Source organism: Homo sapiens, chromosome 17, assembly GCF_000001405.40.
Source record: "Homo sapiens chromosome 17, GRCh38.p14 Primary Assembly".
In the NCBI taxonomy this organism is placed as follows: Eukaryota; Metazoa; Chordata; class Mammalia; order Primates; family Hominidae; genus Homo; species Homo sapiens.
Window position 1 is genome coordinate 29,692,858 of NC_000017.11, and position 17,218 is coordinate 29,710,075.

The window sequence follows — 17,218 nt, forward strand, 5'->3', positions numbered from 1 at the left end:
CTTTACTAATCGAACTCTGCATGTGGAGTCCACCAATTGGTGATTTAACAAAGCTCTCCATGTGATTCTGATATACTTTAAAGTTGGAGAATCATTGCTTCAGATGATGATGATGATTATTATTAGAGGGTCTTGCACTGTTGCCCAGGTTGAGGGCAGTGGCGTGATCATGGCTCACTGCAGCCTTGACCTGCCAGGCTCAAGCAATACTCCCACTGCAGCCTCCCGAGTAGCTGGCATGCCACTATGCCCAGCCAATTTTTTACTTTTTGTAGAGACAGGGTTTTGCCATGTTGCCTAGGCTGGTCTTGAACTCCTGGGCTCAAGCGATCCTCCTGCCTTGGCCTCCCAAAGTGCTAGGATTACAGACATGAGCCACCACACCCCAATCACTCCAGATTATTAATACTGTAAGAATAGCATCCCCCCCGTTCCCTTTTAAATAATAATAATAACATTATTATTATTTTTTGAGACAGAATCTTCTTCTGTCATCCAGGTTGGAGTGTAATGGCACAATCTCGGCTCACTGCAACCACCGCCTCTTGGGTTCAAGTGATTCTCCTGCCTCAGCCTCCTGAGTAGCTGGGACTACAGGTGTGTGCCAACACACCTGGCTAATTTTTGTATTTTTAGTAGAGACAGGGTTTTACCATGTTGGCCAGGCTGGTCTTGAACTCCTGACCTCAAATGATCTGCCCACCTCGGCCTCCCAAAGTGTTGGGATTACAGGCATGAGCCACTGTGCCTGGCCTTAGATAATTATTTAAGAAAGAAATATATCAAGAAATACAGACAAGATTTATATAAATGTATAATGTTACTTTTGGTTAGGATATAAAACATTTAAAAAATTAAAATTAAGATATAAAATAACTATGAAAAGATTCCTTTAAATTTTTATATATTCTAATCAAAGGACTCATTACCACATACCTAGATTACTGCAATAACTACCCTAGCAGGCCTCCCTGATTTAAAATGATCTTTTCCTCCTCTCTATTCTGTATTAGCTTCTGAGGAATCTTCCCTAACTACTATAGCTGTCCCACGGCATTCTTTGGCTCAAAAACCTGTAATGTTTCACAAGTGCTTATTGAAAAGGGAGAGGTACTACCTTTAGTTAGTAATCTAGAGCAGGCAGCAAGCTTGTGCAACCCGTGGCCCAAGATGGCTTTCAATGTGGCCCAGCATAAATTCATAAACTTTCTGAAAACATTATGAGATATTGTGATTTTTTTTTTAAGCTCATCAGCTATCGTTAGTGTATTTTATATGTGGCCCAAGACAATTCTTCTTTTTCCAGTGTGGTCCAGGGAAGCCAAATGATTGGACACCCCTGAGAGGCTCAGATGGGAAATGTAAATAAGGAAAGTAAGCCACGTGAATATTGAATGGGTAGAAATACTTTCCAATTTCCACAAAGAAATATGGTCATCTCAGTTTTGTTTTCCTAGTTTTATTGGAGGTATTACTACAACAGTGCAGGAATGATGACAAATGGTGACACTTGACTTAAGAAGACAATAGGGGCTGGGCACTGTGGCTCACGCCTGTAATCCCAGCACTTTGGGAGGCCAAGGTGGGTGGATCACGAGGTCAGGAGTTCGAGACCAGCCTGTCCAATACGGTGAAACCCCATCTCTACTAAAAATACAAAAATTAGCTGAGCATGGTAGTGTGCGCCTGTAGTCCCAGCTGCTCGGGAGGCTGAGGCAGGAGAATCGATCGAACCTGGGAGGTGGAGGTTGCAGTGAGCCGAGATTGTGCCACTGCACTCCAGCCTGGGCAAAAGAGCAAGACTCCGTCTCACAAAGAGGATTATGGTAAATTAAGAACCCATGCTAGATCTCACCTAACTTTAAAATTCTGGCTTATGTTTTTTTAAAAAAACACTGTGATCCAAACAAAATGTATCTCTGGCCTATACACTGCCAGTTTGAGACCTCCAGTTTACAGCACTAAATCCATATTTGCCTGCCTTGTTTTCTAGTCTCTATCTTCCCAATAATCATAATAATAATCCCCATACTTAGACAGCATTTTGCACTATGCAGTATGTTTTCATGTCCAGTTGACCCTCTCAACGTGAGAGGTAGTCAGGAGATGAGGAAATGGGCACAGACAGGGTAAAGTAACTTGTCCAGTATCGTATGATTAGTAAAGACCTAAGTCCACGTCTCCTGAGTCTGAAGCCAGCATCAATCTTTGGCCATTTCACTCCCTCCTTGTCCTTCCCTATGTGTGTTTTTGCTTGTTAAGTCCTTATCTAGAATAATTTCTTTCTACCAATCCAAATCTCATCATCTTTCAACAGTCAGCTCAAGCTCCACTGACTACATAAATCTTCCTAATCTAGGTCAAATCCCCAAGGTTTTTCTCCATTTTCTGAACTTCAATTGTAATTATAGTTAATAACTTACAAATTGGTGCTTACCAACAGTCTTAAACCATCAAATTATTTCACAACACTCCACATTATCTTCTCTCTTACTTCACATAGTTCCCAGCACTGTGTTGGGATGTAAAAATGACTGTTCAATTTTGGCTATCTTAGATAGTCTTTTGAGGAAGAAAATTATGATGACACCACTAACTTACCAGCCTGATGTTGTCTTCTGGGCGGAGTAAAATGAACATTGCTTGGAGATGCTGTTGGAGATCGCCTGGTGAAATTTACAAACCAAAGGATAATTATTCTCCATTCTAATGTTGACAGAGAGGATTCCTTCTACTTTAGTGACTTTTGTAAAAGAAAGTTCTGATTCATTAAAGGACTCTAATTAGACATAGAAATTAAATGATTATTAACTTCTTTTAAAATGGAAAGACAGACTGCTAGACTGCATCTTAATACATTTGCTTTTAGTCTATACTACATTAAAATTTATGTCTGTTCTATGAAAGGTACACTTGAGACCAGTCTCAGTTTTGTATTATGGTGGATGTTCATGAGAGACTTGTTGGTGAGATCTGTTAGGCAGAGGTAGCACCCACTGGCTGTTTTTGGGCCCACTGAAGGTAGCAATGAGGGCACTTTGAAAATGGGTGTAGTAGTGTAGTGTTAGAGGAATTATCCATAACTTTTAAAAAGCTAACCATTTTTTCATTCCTATTTCTATAATTATATGCTTCGGTTGCATTTGACCTAGGAAGACTTTTGGATTCTCCCTAGAATAAGGTCAATAGTTTAAAATGATTTTCATATTAGTGACTGATATTATTATTATTTATTTTAATTTTTTTGAGATGGAGTCTCGCTGTCACCCACGCTGGAGTGTAGTGACTGATATTATAATGAGAGTATGTATATATATACACACACACACACACACACACACACACACACACATATGTATATACGTATACATATACACAGAGTGAGACTCCGTCTCAAAAAATATATATATACACACACACGTATATATATGTATATACACATGCATATATGTATATAAATATACATACATATATACACATATGTGTGTATATATATACTCTCATAATATCCATACATATAAATATATATTTATATTTATACATATCCATACATATAAATATATATACACATATATGTGTGTGTATATATATACTGTCATTATAATATCAGTCACTACACTCCAGTGTGGGCGACAGAGCGAGACTCCATCTCAAAAAAAAATTAAAACTCATGCTAGAGCTTGCAGAGCCAAGATTGCGCTACTGCACTCCAGCCTGGGCGACACAGCGAGACTCTGTCTCAAAAACATATATACATATATATATACACACACACACACACACACACACACCTATGTATGTATATATATACGTACGTGTGTGTGTGTGTGTGTGTGTGTATTTTTTGAGACAAGAGTCTCGCTCTGTCATCCAGGCTGGAGTGCAGTGGTGCGATCTCTGCTCTGCAAGCTCCGCCTCCCAAGTTCACATCATTCTCCTGCCTCAGCCTCCCGAGTAGCTGGGATTACAGGCGCCTGCCACCATGCCCGGCTAATTTTTTGTATTTTTAGTAGAGATGGGGTTTCACCGTGTTAGCCAGGATGGTCTTGATCTCCTGACCTTGTGATCCGCCTGCCTCGGCCTCCCAAAGTGCTGGGATTACAGGCGTGAGCCACAGTGCCTGGCCAATGAGAGTATATATTAAGTATGCCACATAAGGGATATATATTCTCCTGAACATATTATTAGGTTCTTTAAAATGGCCAACCATTATTTGAATCTTCACTTGTTCTTATACATCTTGTCAAACTAAGTTGAAATTTCTTTGTTTTAACTATTATAGATTTCCTCATATTCCTAGGAAATCTGAGGCTTTAGATAGCAGGAGATAAATAATGTACTATCATAAATTATGAAAATCTGTGAACAAAAAAACCTCATTCTTGCCCACTCAGATCTTGCCCTTATTAAAGTCTAAGGTGACTGACATAGTCACATAACCATGAATGCCAGTATAACTTGTTCTCACATTGGTCTTGAAATCTACATAATTTTCCTTCAGTTAACTAATAGCTGTTAATTATGAGATGAAATACTGTTATGTACAAGAAGTGGATAGAGGCAGGAAGAAAAAAAAATAGGTTGGCAAACGGGTTGGTGCGTTTGTCTAAATGGTCAGCAAGTCTGAAAGCCTTTCCTTTCTTCTCCCTCTTTCCTTCTCATACAGAATAGTTTTCTTAATCTCAGCACTTTGGGAGGCTGAAGCGGGGGAGTGCTTGAGGCTAGTGAGCTATGATCATGCCACTGCACTCCAGCCTGGGTGACAGAGCAAGACCTTATATTTAAATATAAATAAATAAACAAAAACCAAACAACTCCCCCACCCCAAACCAAAAAGGATGGTTTTCACTGCTGGCTTCTGACCAATTAATTCCATATTGCAGAATCTTTCAATTTTCAAAATTAAAATGGAGAGTCATTATGTTTGGCCAGATCCATTCTACTACATTTCAAGGCCAGGGACACAATCTAAGTCTCATATGCACAAACCCAAGAGAAATCAAAACGTATGTCCACCCAAAAAGTTGTACACACATCTATAATACAGCATTATTCATAATAGCAAAAAAGTGGAAACAACTCAAATGTCTATCAAATGATGAATGGATAAATAAAATGTGGTATTATCCACAAAATGTAATATTATTTGGTCATAAAAAGGAATGATGTACTGATACATACTATACCATGGATGACCTTTGAAAACATGCTAAGTAAAAGGAGCCTAACTCAAAAATCCATTCATATGAATCCATTTACAGAACATCCAGAATAGGCAAATCTATAGAGACAGAAAGTAGATTAGTGGTTGCTTAGGGCTGGTAGAGAGGGTGAGAGAAATAGGGAGTGCCTGCTAATGGACATCGGGTTTATTTTCAGGGCGATAAAAATGTTCTAAAATTAGATTGTGGTGATGGCTGTACAACTCTGTGACTATTCTAAAAACCAATGCATGTACACTTTAAATGAGTAAACTGGGTGAATTATATGGTATGTGGATTATATCTCAATAAAGCTGTTAAACAAAAAATAAAAGAACAAGTATGAGGAGACAAAGTGTTAGGTATAAACAGTGAAAAGCTACCGGAGTTACAAGTTGCAACTGAGTTAAGCAACTGAGGATACTTTTTATTTTATTTTTTTCTTGAGACAGGGTCTTACTCTACCACCCAGACTGGAGTACAGTGGCGCTATCACAGCTCCCTACAGCTGTGACCTCCTGGGCTCAAGCAATCCTCCCACCTCAGCCTCCAGGGTAGCCAGGACTAACTACCCTAGGTGTTGTGCACCACAACGCCTAGCTAATTTTTTGTATTTTTTGTAGAGATGAGGTTTCACCATGTTGCCCAGGCTGGTCCCAAACTCCTAAGCTCAAGCAATCTGTCTGCCTCGGCCTCCCAAAATGCTGGGATTACAGGCACAGACCACTGCACCAGGGCTGAGCTTCTTTAAAATTAAGTTTCCTTCTGTCCTACCAGTAGAAATAACCAGAGGAAAGGATTTTTAGGATGGAGAACTTCTGGAGGAGAACCCTAAATAGCAGCCCAAAGTCCCCACTCCAAACACTACTGGCCCAAAGATTCAGCTGGCTTATTTGAAGCTCAGACAAAAACCAGGAGTCCTACTCAAGTAAGCCTTCTTATGCGAGTTGGAAGCTCAGGTTTGTCAGCTGCAAAAAGTACTTACTGCTCTGAGCAAACTGCATATCATTTCCTACTGGGCAACTGTTCTTCACAGAGTCTAACAGAAGGCAATATATTGATATAGCATTAAGATAACCTTCCCTACATTTCCCTACCATATACTTCATTTCTAGGAGCTAAATTTCAAATTTCTATTGGATTTTATAGACTTTTCATTGTTTCCATTTAAAATACTGGCAGACATTCACCCATAATACCCTTTTTTGATTGCAAAATAGTATTTGGATATTTCAAATGCAGCCCAGTTAAAAAATTCTAACTAGTTCAAGAAACATGCATAAGGAAGTACAACTAGACAAGGTAAGCCCTTGATCTGCTCTCAATTCTGCCATCAACTTGCAGTTACTGTGGGCCTGGCCAAGGCAGCTTCAGTTTATGTGACAGCCTGGCTTTTACAAGCTGAGTTTATACTCGCACTGCCTCATCTGTTCCGGTCTGGATCACAAGCAAGTCCATTCAGCTTGTGTTAAATCTGCTTTTCTTTTTAGTATGAGGAAAGCTAAGTGAACAATGTCAAGTAGAAACCTGGGTGGCAGCTGAGTGTAGAAGTTTGACCAAAGAAAAATGCCAACCAGTGCCAGGAGCTTTAAAAGCCACTGACCCCATTAACTATCACATGCCATAGAGTAATTTGCCCAACATTCTAGTCAGACAAACTGGATTTAAACCAATAATTTGTCTTCTTTTTACTGTAAGGGATAAATATCCACACTGAAAAGAAATAAAAAGCTTAGTGGGCATACTTCATCTGCACATTCAAGTTTTTTGGGGAAGTGTCCTCCCCTACCCGACCTCTGGTACTGGGCACTGGGGAGGAAGGTTTTAGAAAGTGTAATCCAAGCTAATTTCCAAAAGAGGTTATTTCTTCCCTTACTCTAAAAAATTTTCCATGGCTGGAGAGTTCTGGTAGGAGGAAAATATTGTCCAAACAAAATGGATTATGATTCTGAGCTGCCACAGTTGCAACTAGGTGAAGGCCCAAACAAGTAGTAGGGCAGCCACTAAAACAGCCGAGATTATCTTGACTAAAGCTATGCTCAACTACTGGCTCAATGGGATCCAATATTTTTGGCTTTTACCTCTGACCTAAACACTTAAGGTTATCGTAGTCTTTGTTCCTTTCTTAGTAATTACAATTTTTTTCACTCCTGGAGGTCATAAGTGGTCAAAGTGGCCCATTTATGACAACAAGCAATCACCTCTTTCTGTACTACTGATCAGGATTAGTGTCCTCAGGCTGACTTTTATTTTTTTTCCCCAAAATGATAAATAAGGTCTGCCAGTAGAAGAGAAGCATTAGGTTATCTTCTTAAACTGTGGATATCCTATACCTGGAGATCTCTCTCCCTAAGACACATTTTCTACGGTTCTTTTAAAACCTCATCATCACAGGTGTTCCTGATTTTAGAGAAATCCAATATAAAAGAATACAGTGCATATACTACTGTTAGTTGATATTTCAAAACAAGAGTCTTATACTCATTCCTATGTGAACATTTGATGATTCCTTCTGGGTTGAATTTCCAGTCTTTTTAGTGTATACATTCAAGTAGCAGACACTGGCATTTTAATATGTGACATAATGACTCATTATCACAGCAAAAAGTTTATCTTAGTATATTCTGTATCATTCCCCTCCTCATACCATCACCAGACAGTAGAAAGAAATCAGAAATTGAATCTTTGATTAGTTGAAGTAATTCTGAATAAGATTCAAGGGAACAGCTAAACTTCTTTTTTTCTTTTTGAGATGGAGTCTCATTCTGTCGCCCAGGCTGGAGGGTAGCAGCGCAATCTCAGCTCACTGCAACCTCCATCTCCCAGGTTCCAGCAATTCTCCTGCCTCAGCCTCCTGAGTAGCTGGGACTACAGGCGCGCACCACCATGCCTGCTAATTTTTGTATTTTTTTCTTTTTTTCTTTTTTTTTGAGATGGAGTCTTACTGTGTCGCCCAGGCTGGAGTGCAGTGGCGTGATCTCAGCTCACTGCAAGCTCCGCCTCCCGGGTTCACACCATTCTCCTGACTCAGCCTCCTGAATAGCTGGGACCACAGGCGCCCGCCACCATGTCCGGCTAATTTTTTTAAATTTTTAGTAGAGACGGAGTTTCACCATGTTAGCCAGGATGGTCTCGATCTCCTGACCTTGTGATCCGCCCGTCTCAGCCTCCCAAAGTGCCGGGATTACAGGCGTGAGCCACTGTGCCCGGCCTAATTTTTGTATTTTTTATAGAGATGAGGTTTCGCCATGTTAGCCAGGCTGGTCTCAAACTCCTGACCTCAGGTGATCCACCTGCCTCGGCCTCCCGAGGTGCTGGGATCATAGGCGCGAGCCGTGCCTGGCTCTTTTTTTTTTTTTTTTTTTTTTTGAGACAGGGTCCCACTCTGTCACCAAGGCTGGAGTGCAGTGGTGCAAAGAGGGCTAACTGCAGTCTCAACCTCCCAGGCTCAAGTGACCCTCCCACCTCAGCCTCCCAGGTAGCTAGGACCACAGGTGTACACCACCACACGTCACTAATTTTCTTTTTTTGAAGTGGAGTCTTGCTCTGTTGCCCAGGCTGGTGTGCAGTGGCATGATCTCGGCTCACTGTAACCTTCGCTTCCCAGGTTCAAGTGATTCTCCTGCCTCAGCCTCCAGAGCAGCTGAGATTACAGCAGTGTACCACTACGCCCAGCTAATTTTTGTATTTTTAGTAGAGACAGCGTTTCACCATGTTGGCCAGGCTGGTCTCGAACTTCTGACCTCAGGTGATCCACCTGCCTTGGCGTCCCCAAATGCTAGGATTACAGGTGTGAGCCACTGTGCCTGGCCACATTTGGCTAATTTAAAATTTTTTTTTTTTTTTTTTTGTAGAGATGGGATTTCACCATCTTGCCCAGGCCGGTCTCAAAGTCCTTGACTCAGGCAATCCTCTTGCCTCAGCCTCCCAAAGTGCTGGGATTACATCTGTGAGCCAATGTGCCTGGCCCACCTGAACATTTTTAATCTGAACACTCAAAACCTTAACTGAGGGCTGGGTGCGGGGACTCACACCTATAATCCTAGCACTTTGGATAACTGAGGTGGGTGGATCACCTCAGGCCAGGAGTTCGACACCAGCCTAGCCAACATGGTGAAACACCATCTCTACTAAAAACACAAAAATTAGCTGCATGTGGTGGTGCATGCCTGTAGTCCCAGCTACTTGGGAGGTTGAGGCAGGAGAATTGCTTGAATCCAGGAGGCGGAGGTTGCAATGAGCTGAGATTATGCCATTGCACTCTAGCCTGGGTGACAGAGTGAGAGTCTGTCTCAAAAAAAAAAAAACAACCCTGGCCGGGCGTGGTGGCTGAAGTCTGTAATCCCAGCACTTCAGGAGGCTGAGGCAGGCAGATCACCTGAGGTCAGGAGTTCGAGGCCAGCCTGGCTAATGTGGTAAAACCCTGTCTCTACTAAGAATACAAAAATGAGCTGGGCGTGGTGGCGGGCGCCTGTAGTCCCAGCTACTCAGGAGGCTGAGGCAAGAGGATCGCTTGAACCCAGGAGGTGGAGGTTGCAGTGATCTGGGATCGTGCCACTGCACTCCACCCTGGGTGACACAGCGAAACTCCATCTCAAAAAAACAAAACAAAACAAAACAACCCCAATCTTAACTGAGAAGTTCCATATAACTTCATTATTTTGGTACCGTCTTATTATTATTCCAACAAAAATGTATTGAACATCTACTATGTGTAAAAGGCTTTTTGCGAAGCGCTAAAAAAATTGGTCTGTGAGGGTAAAAGTCATTACGGCCCTGTACAATGCTTTCTTTCACCATTAAAGAACTTCTGAAGAGATGGGGATGAGGTAGTCAACCTTTTAGAATGTAACAAAAGATATAGTTACCAAGAAAGAAATGGTGTATATGCAAGCATTACCTGCATGCTTGTTCCGTCTGTGGCTGATTCTTGGTGTGGATGAGCCATTTCCCCGTGGTAGAAAAAGGGCAGCACCTTTGACAGTTAGAAAGCTCTCGCTGATGCTACAAGGAAAAAGTCAAAAGAAAATAAATTACTTAGGAAAGGAAATCAAAGAGTAGGATGGATAACCACTTTTGGATTCTCTCTTCTCTATTCCAAAGTCCCAACTTCATGGAACGAAGTAAAAACATAATCAAGAGAGGCTGTGGTTACTCACTCATACGCTCCTGTCTACTCTAGACAAGTTTGCTTTCTTTTTCTTTTTTGAAAGGGAGTCTTGCTCTGTTGCCCAGGCCGGAGTGCAGTGGCGTGATCTTGGCTCACTGCAACCTCCGCCTCCTGGGTTCAAGTGATTCTCCTGCCTCAGCCTCCCGAGTAGGCTGGGATTACCGGCGCCCGCCACCACACCCAGCTAATTTTTGAATATTAGTAGAGAGTGTTTCACTATGTAGGTCAAGATGGTCTCAAACTCCTGACCTCAAATGATCCGCCCACCTCGGCCTCCCAAAGTGCTGGGAATACAGACGTGAGCCACTGTGCGTGGCCTCTAGACAAGTTTTCTGAAACAAAACTTTACAATATTCTTTTTTTTTGAGATGGAGTCTCACTCTGTTGCCCAGGCTGGAGTGCAGTGGTGCGATCTCGGCTCACTGCAACAACCTCCGCCTCCCAGGTTCAAGTAATTCTCCTGCCTCAGCCTCCTGAGTAGCTGGGATTACAGGAGCGAGCCACCACGACCAGCTAATTTTTGTATTTTTAATAGAGATGGGGTTTTACCACGTTGGCCAGGCTGGTTTTGAACTCCTGATGTCATGTGATCCACCAGCCTCGGCCTCCCAAAGTGCTAGGACTACAGATGTGAGCCACTGCGCCCAGCCAAAACTTACAATATTCTATATACATTACATGGCAGCAGTTAAGAGCGCAGGCTCTGAAACCAGAATGCCTGAGTTTGAATCCTGGCTTTACTTCTTCCTAATAGAGTAGGCCTAAATTTCCTTATCTGTAAAACAGGGATAATAAAATGAAGTTGTTGTAAAGAGCCAATGAGAACAGAGCTTCTTAAAGTGGTGCCTAGCATACAGTAAAAAGCCCTTAATAAATATTAGTTATTATAAGTAGATTAGTAGAAGGTTATCAGTAATGATGTTTCAATACCGTCCTGATCAGATGTGAAGTATGTTACAATATTTAGCTACTAGTAATAGGTCCAAAGTTTGCAAAAAAAATTTGTTTAAAATATACACAACAGTAAAATGTTACCTCAAAATTTTACTACTGCCAACTTGTATCCCCATACTCAGTGAAAAGTAGTAGGCAGGAAGTGTGTTTAACCTACTTGAGTTTGTCATTCACAAGATGATAATATAGGTGGAGAATTACTGCTGAGGATAGTAACTATTCAAAATACAATTACTGGTCTGGTCACAGTGGTTCATGCCTGTAATCCCAGTGCTTTGGGAGGCCAAGCCAAGAGGATTGCTTGAGTCTTGGAGTTTGAGACCAGGCTAGGCAACACAGTGAGACTCCATCTCTGAAAAAATATTTTAAAAATAGCTGGGGGTGGTATCACATGCCTGTAGTCCTAGCTATTCAGGAGGGTGAGGTGGGAGGATCACTTGAGCCTAGGAGTTCGAGATTATAGTGAGTTATGATGGCGCCATTGTACTCCAGCTGGGGCGACAGAGCAAGACTCTGTCTCTTAAAAAAAAAAAAAAAAAAAAAGCAAAACACAAAAACTAGTGGATACCCACAAACAACCAGAAAATAAATCTAAATTATTTCATATCAATAAACTAAATAAGCCTTTCAAGTTATCCATCAAGTTTCTCACAGAATCTGAAAGGACAGAACTTAACTCACAAATAGCCAAGTTTAGAAATACCTAATAGAGGATTCTAAATTGCTTTTGAGTACAGTACTGCTATTAAAGGTTAGCTAGCAGACTGTAAATGACATTGTCTACTCAGTATTTCCACTTGGAAATCTTAACTGGCAATGTTAAATTGACGTTGCCAAAACTAAATTCTTGAGTTCCCCCACCCTCAAGTCAATCTCTGGCCTCGTTCTCCAGCCTCATTCTCCCAGTTGTTTAGGCAAAACACCTAATAGTCATCCTTAGTGTCTTTCCTTCCTATAATATATATCTAATCCATTAGCAAGTCCTGTGAGCTTTACTTTCAAATATATCTTGAACCTGCCCACTTATCCCTATCACCACTATCACACTGGTCCATGGCACCAGCATTCCTTACTTGGACCACTATTTAAAAAGTTTTTCTTAAGCCTTTTATTATAGAAAATTTCAAACATACACAAAAGTAGAGGGAATAACTATGATAAGTAAGCCCCCATGTTCCCATCACATTTGAGCTTTAATTTGTGGCAAATTTTGTTTCTTCTACATCCTCACCCATTTTACCTTGCCCCTAAAGTGAAACAAACCCCAGGTGCTGTATCAAAAAAAAACTTCTTAACAGGTCTATCTGCAACCACTTCTGCCCTCGATTATCTATCTACTCACCAAATAGCAACCAGAGTGACTTAAAAAACATCGATTGTACAGTGTCACTTCCCTGCTTAAAACCCTCCAAATGCTTCCTTTTGTACTTGTAAATAAAAAAACCAGTCTTTAGCTTGGTCTTCAAGGACCTGTAACATCCTACAGGACTACTCCTCTGATCTTGTATCATCTCCCCTTTTGTTTACCATGATCTATGATTCTTCTTTCTGTTTCTTCGATGTTTGAGGGACTTTGTGCTTTCTGTTCCCTACTTGGAATACTTTTCTTGTGGCCTATCATTATGTAAGTCTCAGCTTACATATCACTGCTCCTTCCCCCAATTCCAATCATACTCTATCCTGTTGTTCTGTTTTGTTTCCTTCAGAATATTTATCATAAACTAAAATTATATTTATTTAGGTGTATACCTGTTGTGGTTACCTTCCTATAGTAGAATATAAGCTCCAAGAGGGCAAGGACTTAATTTTGTGCATCACTGTAGCTGCAGCACTGGAAATAGTCTAAGGCACGTATTAGCTGCTTGAACAATAGGTGATGGATGAATGAATTTATCCCAGTTTTTTCCACACTGTATGTCTGTCCTGTCACTGTAGCAGAAATTGTAATTTAGGACAAGTCTCACATGTAAAAGTAATAAATTATATAACTCAATATATGTGGCAGATTAATGGACTTTAAGATGTTTGATGATAGATTAGCAAATGAAGTTAAATCACCTCTATAATGTTATCAGACATTGATTCAATTTTATCCTTTAATAAAGTCCATGAAGCTAATAAAACCTTTGAGGTAACCTGCCAAATAGACTGAAACACACCTTCTAAAAACAAAAGAATCCACAGATGTCACTTTAAAAATCTGCATGCTGGCTGGGGGTGGTGGTGCCTTGATTTTATTTTGTTTTCATCTTTAAATAAAGCATTACTCTCTTGTGGTCTGTTGCACAAGCCTTCTCTCTTGTTACAACCGTGGTGTTCACATGCCACCCTACTGTGGGTCACTCTGTTCCACTCACATTACGGGAACAACCTAAAACAAAATGTCTGAGTGACAGGATGAGTGGGCCACACCACAGACAGGAAATGAAATTCACACTTTTGCCAACACAGCAACTGCTGCTTTACTAAATGAAAATATTTTAAAAATAAAGGCTAAATATTCTACCTATTCACCAGGCAAAGTAACAGCTTTGGACACTGTGGGTTCCAGTAAACAAAGCAGTTCGCTACATCTACAAAAGAAGTGTGTATATTTGTTGAAGAGTTTAAAACAACTGAACATACTTCAGTCACTCCTTTTGTGAGATAGGTAGTTTCTCTTTGACAAACACTATTTTAAGAACTTCCTGGCCGGGCGCAGTGGCTCACGCTTGTAATCCCAGCACTTTGGGAGGCCTAGGCGGGCGGATCACGAGGTCAGGAGATCGAGACCATCCTGGCTAACACGGTGAAACCCCGTCTCTACTAAAAATACAAAAAAATTAGCCAGGCGTGGTGGCGGGCGCTTGTAGTCCCAGCTACTCGGGGGCTGAGGCAGGAGAATGGCGTGAACCCGGGAGGCGGAGCTTGCAGTGAGCCGAGATTGCGCCACTGCACTCCCGCCTGGGCGACAGAGCGACACTCCGCCTCAAAAAAAAAAAAAGAACTTCCTGGTTTTTGGAGTTCAGCAATACTGTTTTTTTATAGATACATTTGTTGCTTATGCTTTAAAGTATATGTAAGTACATTCTTGCTTTAAAGCATATCTAAATGTGTTATTTAAAATGAATGCAGGGCTTTCTCAAAGTAAGGGTTAAGGAGCTGGACAAGGGCTGTTGGTTAGTTCAAAGCCACCTGGACTCCAGAAACTCCTGATTATAAAAGAAAGGCCAGGAGTCAAACTCACATATAGTATAAATATCACAAATTCACATATAAGAGAAAAGAGGCTTTCCTATTTGAAACACAAATGTCAATAAACTTTTCTGATGGAACAAATTGTACAAGGTAGGCCAACAGACTACTATTTTTTTTTTTTTTTGAGATGGAGTCTTGCTCTCTTGCCCAGGCTGGAGTGCAATGGTGAGATCTTGGCTCACTGCAACCTCTGCCTCCTGGGCTCAAACGATTCTCGTGCCTCAGCCTCGCGAACAGCTGGGACTATGGGCATACGTCACCATACCTGGCTAATTTTTGTATTTTTAGTGGAGACGGGGTTTCACCATGTTGCCCAGGCTGGTCTGGAACTCCTGATCTTAAGTGATCCGCCCGCCTTGGCCTCCCAAAGTGCTGGGATTACAGGTGTAAGCCACCATGCCCAACCCGAGACTACTATTAAATACTATTATAATAGGCGCGATACAGGCTCCCAGAGACTCGTGGCAGATAATCTGGATGGTACAATCAATCCTCTTTATTCCATGGCCCCAGGTTATGACCCCTCAGTTATCAAAAAAGTGACATTCTGTTGGTCACAAGGGGACCAGAAATAAGCGTGTGGCTGATTACAAAAATCTCTTATCATAACAGAAAAAAATTCATAGCATGGAAGTGATAAAACAAAATTTATAACCACCACCAGAGTTTAGGTAGATAAAATTCCACTTGAAAATTAAATGCTTTATTTGCATATGAAGAAAATTATATGTAAATTTAATCACATATACTTTTGTGTAAGATAAAAGGTTGGTATATCTTGCCAGAATAGTAAAAGATTTATTATGTAAATATGTCTTCCTGAAACAGCTGCTTAAAAATTCAATTGACAAGGAGTTGTCAATTGTCTAATTAAAAAGTCTGTTCTTGCTAGGCGTGGTGGCTCACACCTGTAATCCCAACACTTTGGGAGGCCAAGGCGGGCAGATCACCTGAGGTCAGGAGTTCGAGATCAGCCTGGCCAACATGGCGAAACCCCATCTCGACTAAAAATACAAAAAAATTAGCCAGGCGTGGTGGCGGGTGCCTGTAATCCCAGCTGCTAGGGAGGCTGAGGCAAGAGAATCACTGGAACCTGGGAGGCGGAGGTTGCAGTGAGCCGAGATTGTGCCACTGCACTCCAGCCTGGACGACAGAGGGGAACTCTGCTTCAAAAAAAAAAAAAAAAAACAAACAAAAAAACCGGTTCTTTAGAAAGGCAGGTGAAAACTTTTTCATGTTTCTGAATTGACTAGTTCTGTAGAGTCTGGCACAGAAACAGAACTGCAGTAAACTCTATGAAGTCATTTGTATGTGATTACAGATACCTAAGTTAAATATAACCCCGAAGGACTTAAGAAGCCCCACAGTAAGGAATGAATGAGATAAAGAAAATACTATTTTCTTGATCTAAAGAGAATAATTAGCTGCTTGATACAAAAATGACAGAATCACCTTTCTAATAGAGCACTCCTGACAGTGAAGTTCTCCAGAGTCTTTATAACTTAAAAACATCTATGCTTCTCTTTGCCATAGATTGCTTGCTCAATAAGGGGAAAGTCATCCCTAGTTAAGAAATATATATATATATATATATATAGAGAGAGAGAGAGAGAGAGAGAGAGAGAGAGAGAGAGCTAATAATAGCTAACTCAACTAGATATCTACTGTATGCTAGGTGCATTTTACATTACTTTATTTAACCTTCCTAACAATTCTATGAAGTAGGTACTATTTTTACCCCCAATATACATGTAAGAGACTGAGGGCTCAGAGATCATAAGTTACTTGCCTAAAATCTATACAGCTAGTAAGCCTCAGAGCAAGGATTCAAACCAAGATTTGACTTGAAAGCTTATGCTCCAAATCATGCTCTACCATGTTGTTTTCGCTTTATGATATAGTTTATGGCGGACGAAATACAATGTCTTACCTACACACCTTTTCAACAGAATAGAATTTAAAAGTAGAGTACAGGGGCTGAGTGTGGTGGCTCATGCCTGTAATCCCAGCACTTTGGGAGGCCAAGGAGGGTGGATCACTTGAGGCCAGGAGTTCAAAACCAGCCTGGCCATCATGGCAAAACTCCGTCTCTACTAAAAATACAAAAATTAGCCAGGTGTGGTGGCACACGCTTATAATCCCAGCTACTTGGGAGGCTGAGGCAAGAGAATTGCTTGAACTCTGGAGGTGGAGTTTGCAGTGAGCTGAGATCACGCCACTGCACTCCAGCCTGGGAAACAGAGCGAAACTCCATTTCAAAAAAAAAATGTAGAGTACAGGAGTGAGAGAAAAGAACTGAAATCCATTCGGATTCCAACTCTTCTCATTTTCCCCACCACTTCCCCAACAAGGCCATAAACAGAAAGACTACACTGAGGGGAATAAAGAACATGTCTGAGATGAATCCAGCTGGGCTGGACAGTAGAGCAAGTTGTAATATCTGTTGGGAATGACAGTGGCATCTCAGTCTCAAAAAATGGAGGAAAGAGCACTCGGCTTTAAATATATTTGGGAAAGTGCTCTGTGACAATCCTTTCTGATCAAAATCACTTCCTAAAGTATGACATTTGTTAACTGGTAGTTTCTTCTTAGACAAAGTGTGGAGGAAAAGGTCAACTAAGGGAAGAAAATATTTAACTGTTCTGAGGTTGAAATA

General features: G+C 41.1%; 1 protein-coding gene across 15 annotated transcripts in view, besides 1 other annotated feature; it reads right to left on the reverse strand.

Moving 5' to 3' along the window:
• SSH2 (slingshot protein phosphatase 2) overlaps positions 1-17,218 on the reverse strand; it is a 304,291-nt gene that overhangs the window by 66,920 nt on the left and 220,153 nt on the right. For 12 of the 15 annotated variants that reach the window (XM_047436967.1, XM_005258058.4, XM_047436968.1 and 9 more), the window contains 2 exons: positions 10,102-10,205; positions 2,602-2,666 (listed from right to left, as the gene is read on the reverse strand). In XM_047436967.1, the coding sequence (XP_047292923.1) occupies positions 2,602-2,666; positions 10,102-10,205 (169 nt within the window). Of the gene's footprint in view, positions 1-2,601; positions 2,667-10,101; positions 10,206-13,087; positions 14,015-17,218 lie in introns of those variants that run through there. The other 3 variants (XM_011525407.1, XM_047436969.1, XM_011525404.3) reach the window with 2 other exon arrangements.
• Positions 13,812-14,001: an enhancer, noted in NCBI's record as "active region_11984". NCBI's record gives its function as "activates an Ori minimal core promoter by ATAC-STARR-seq in GM12878 lymphoblastoid cells {active_cell/tissue: GM12878}" and the evidence as "EXISTENCE:reporter gene assay evidence [ECO:0000049][PMID:35858748]".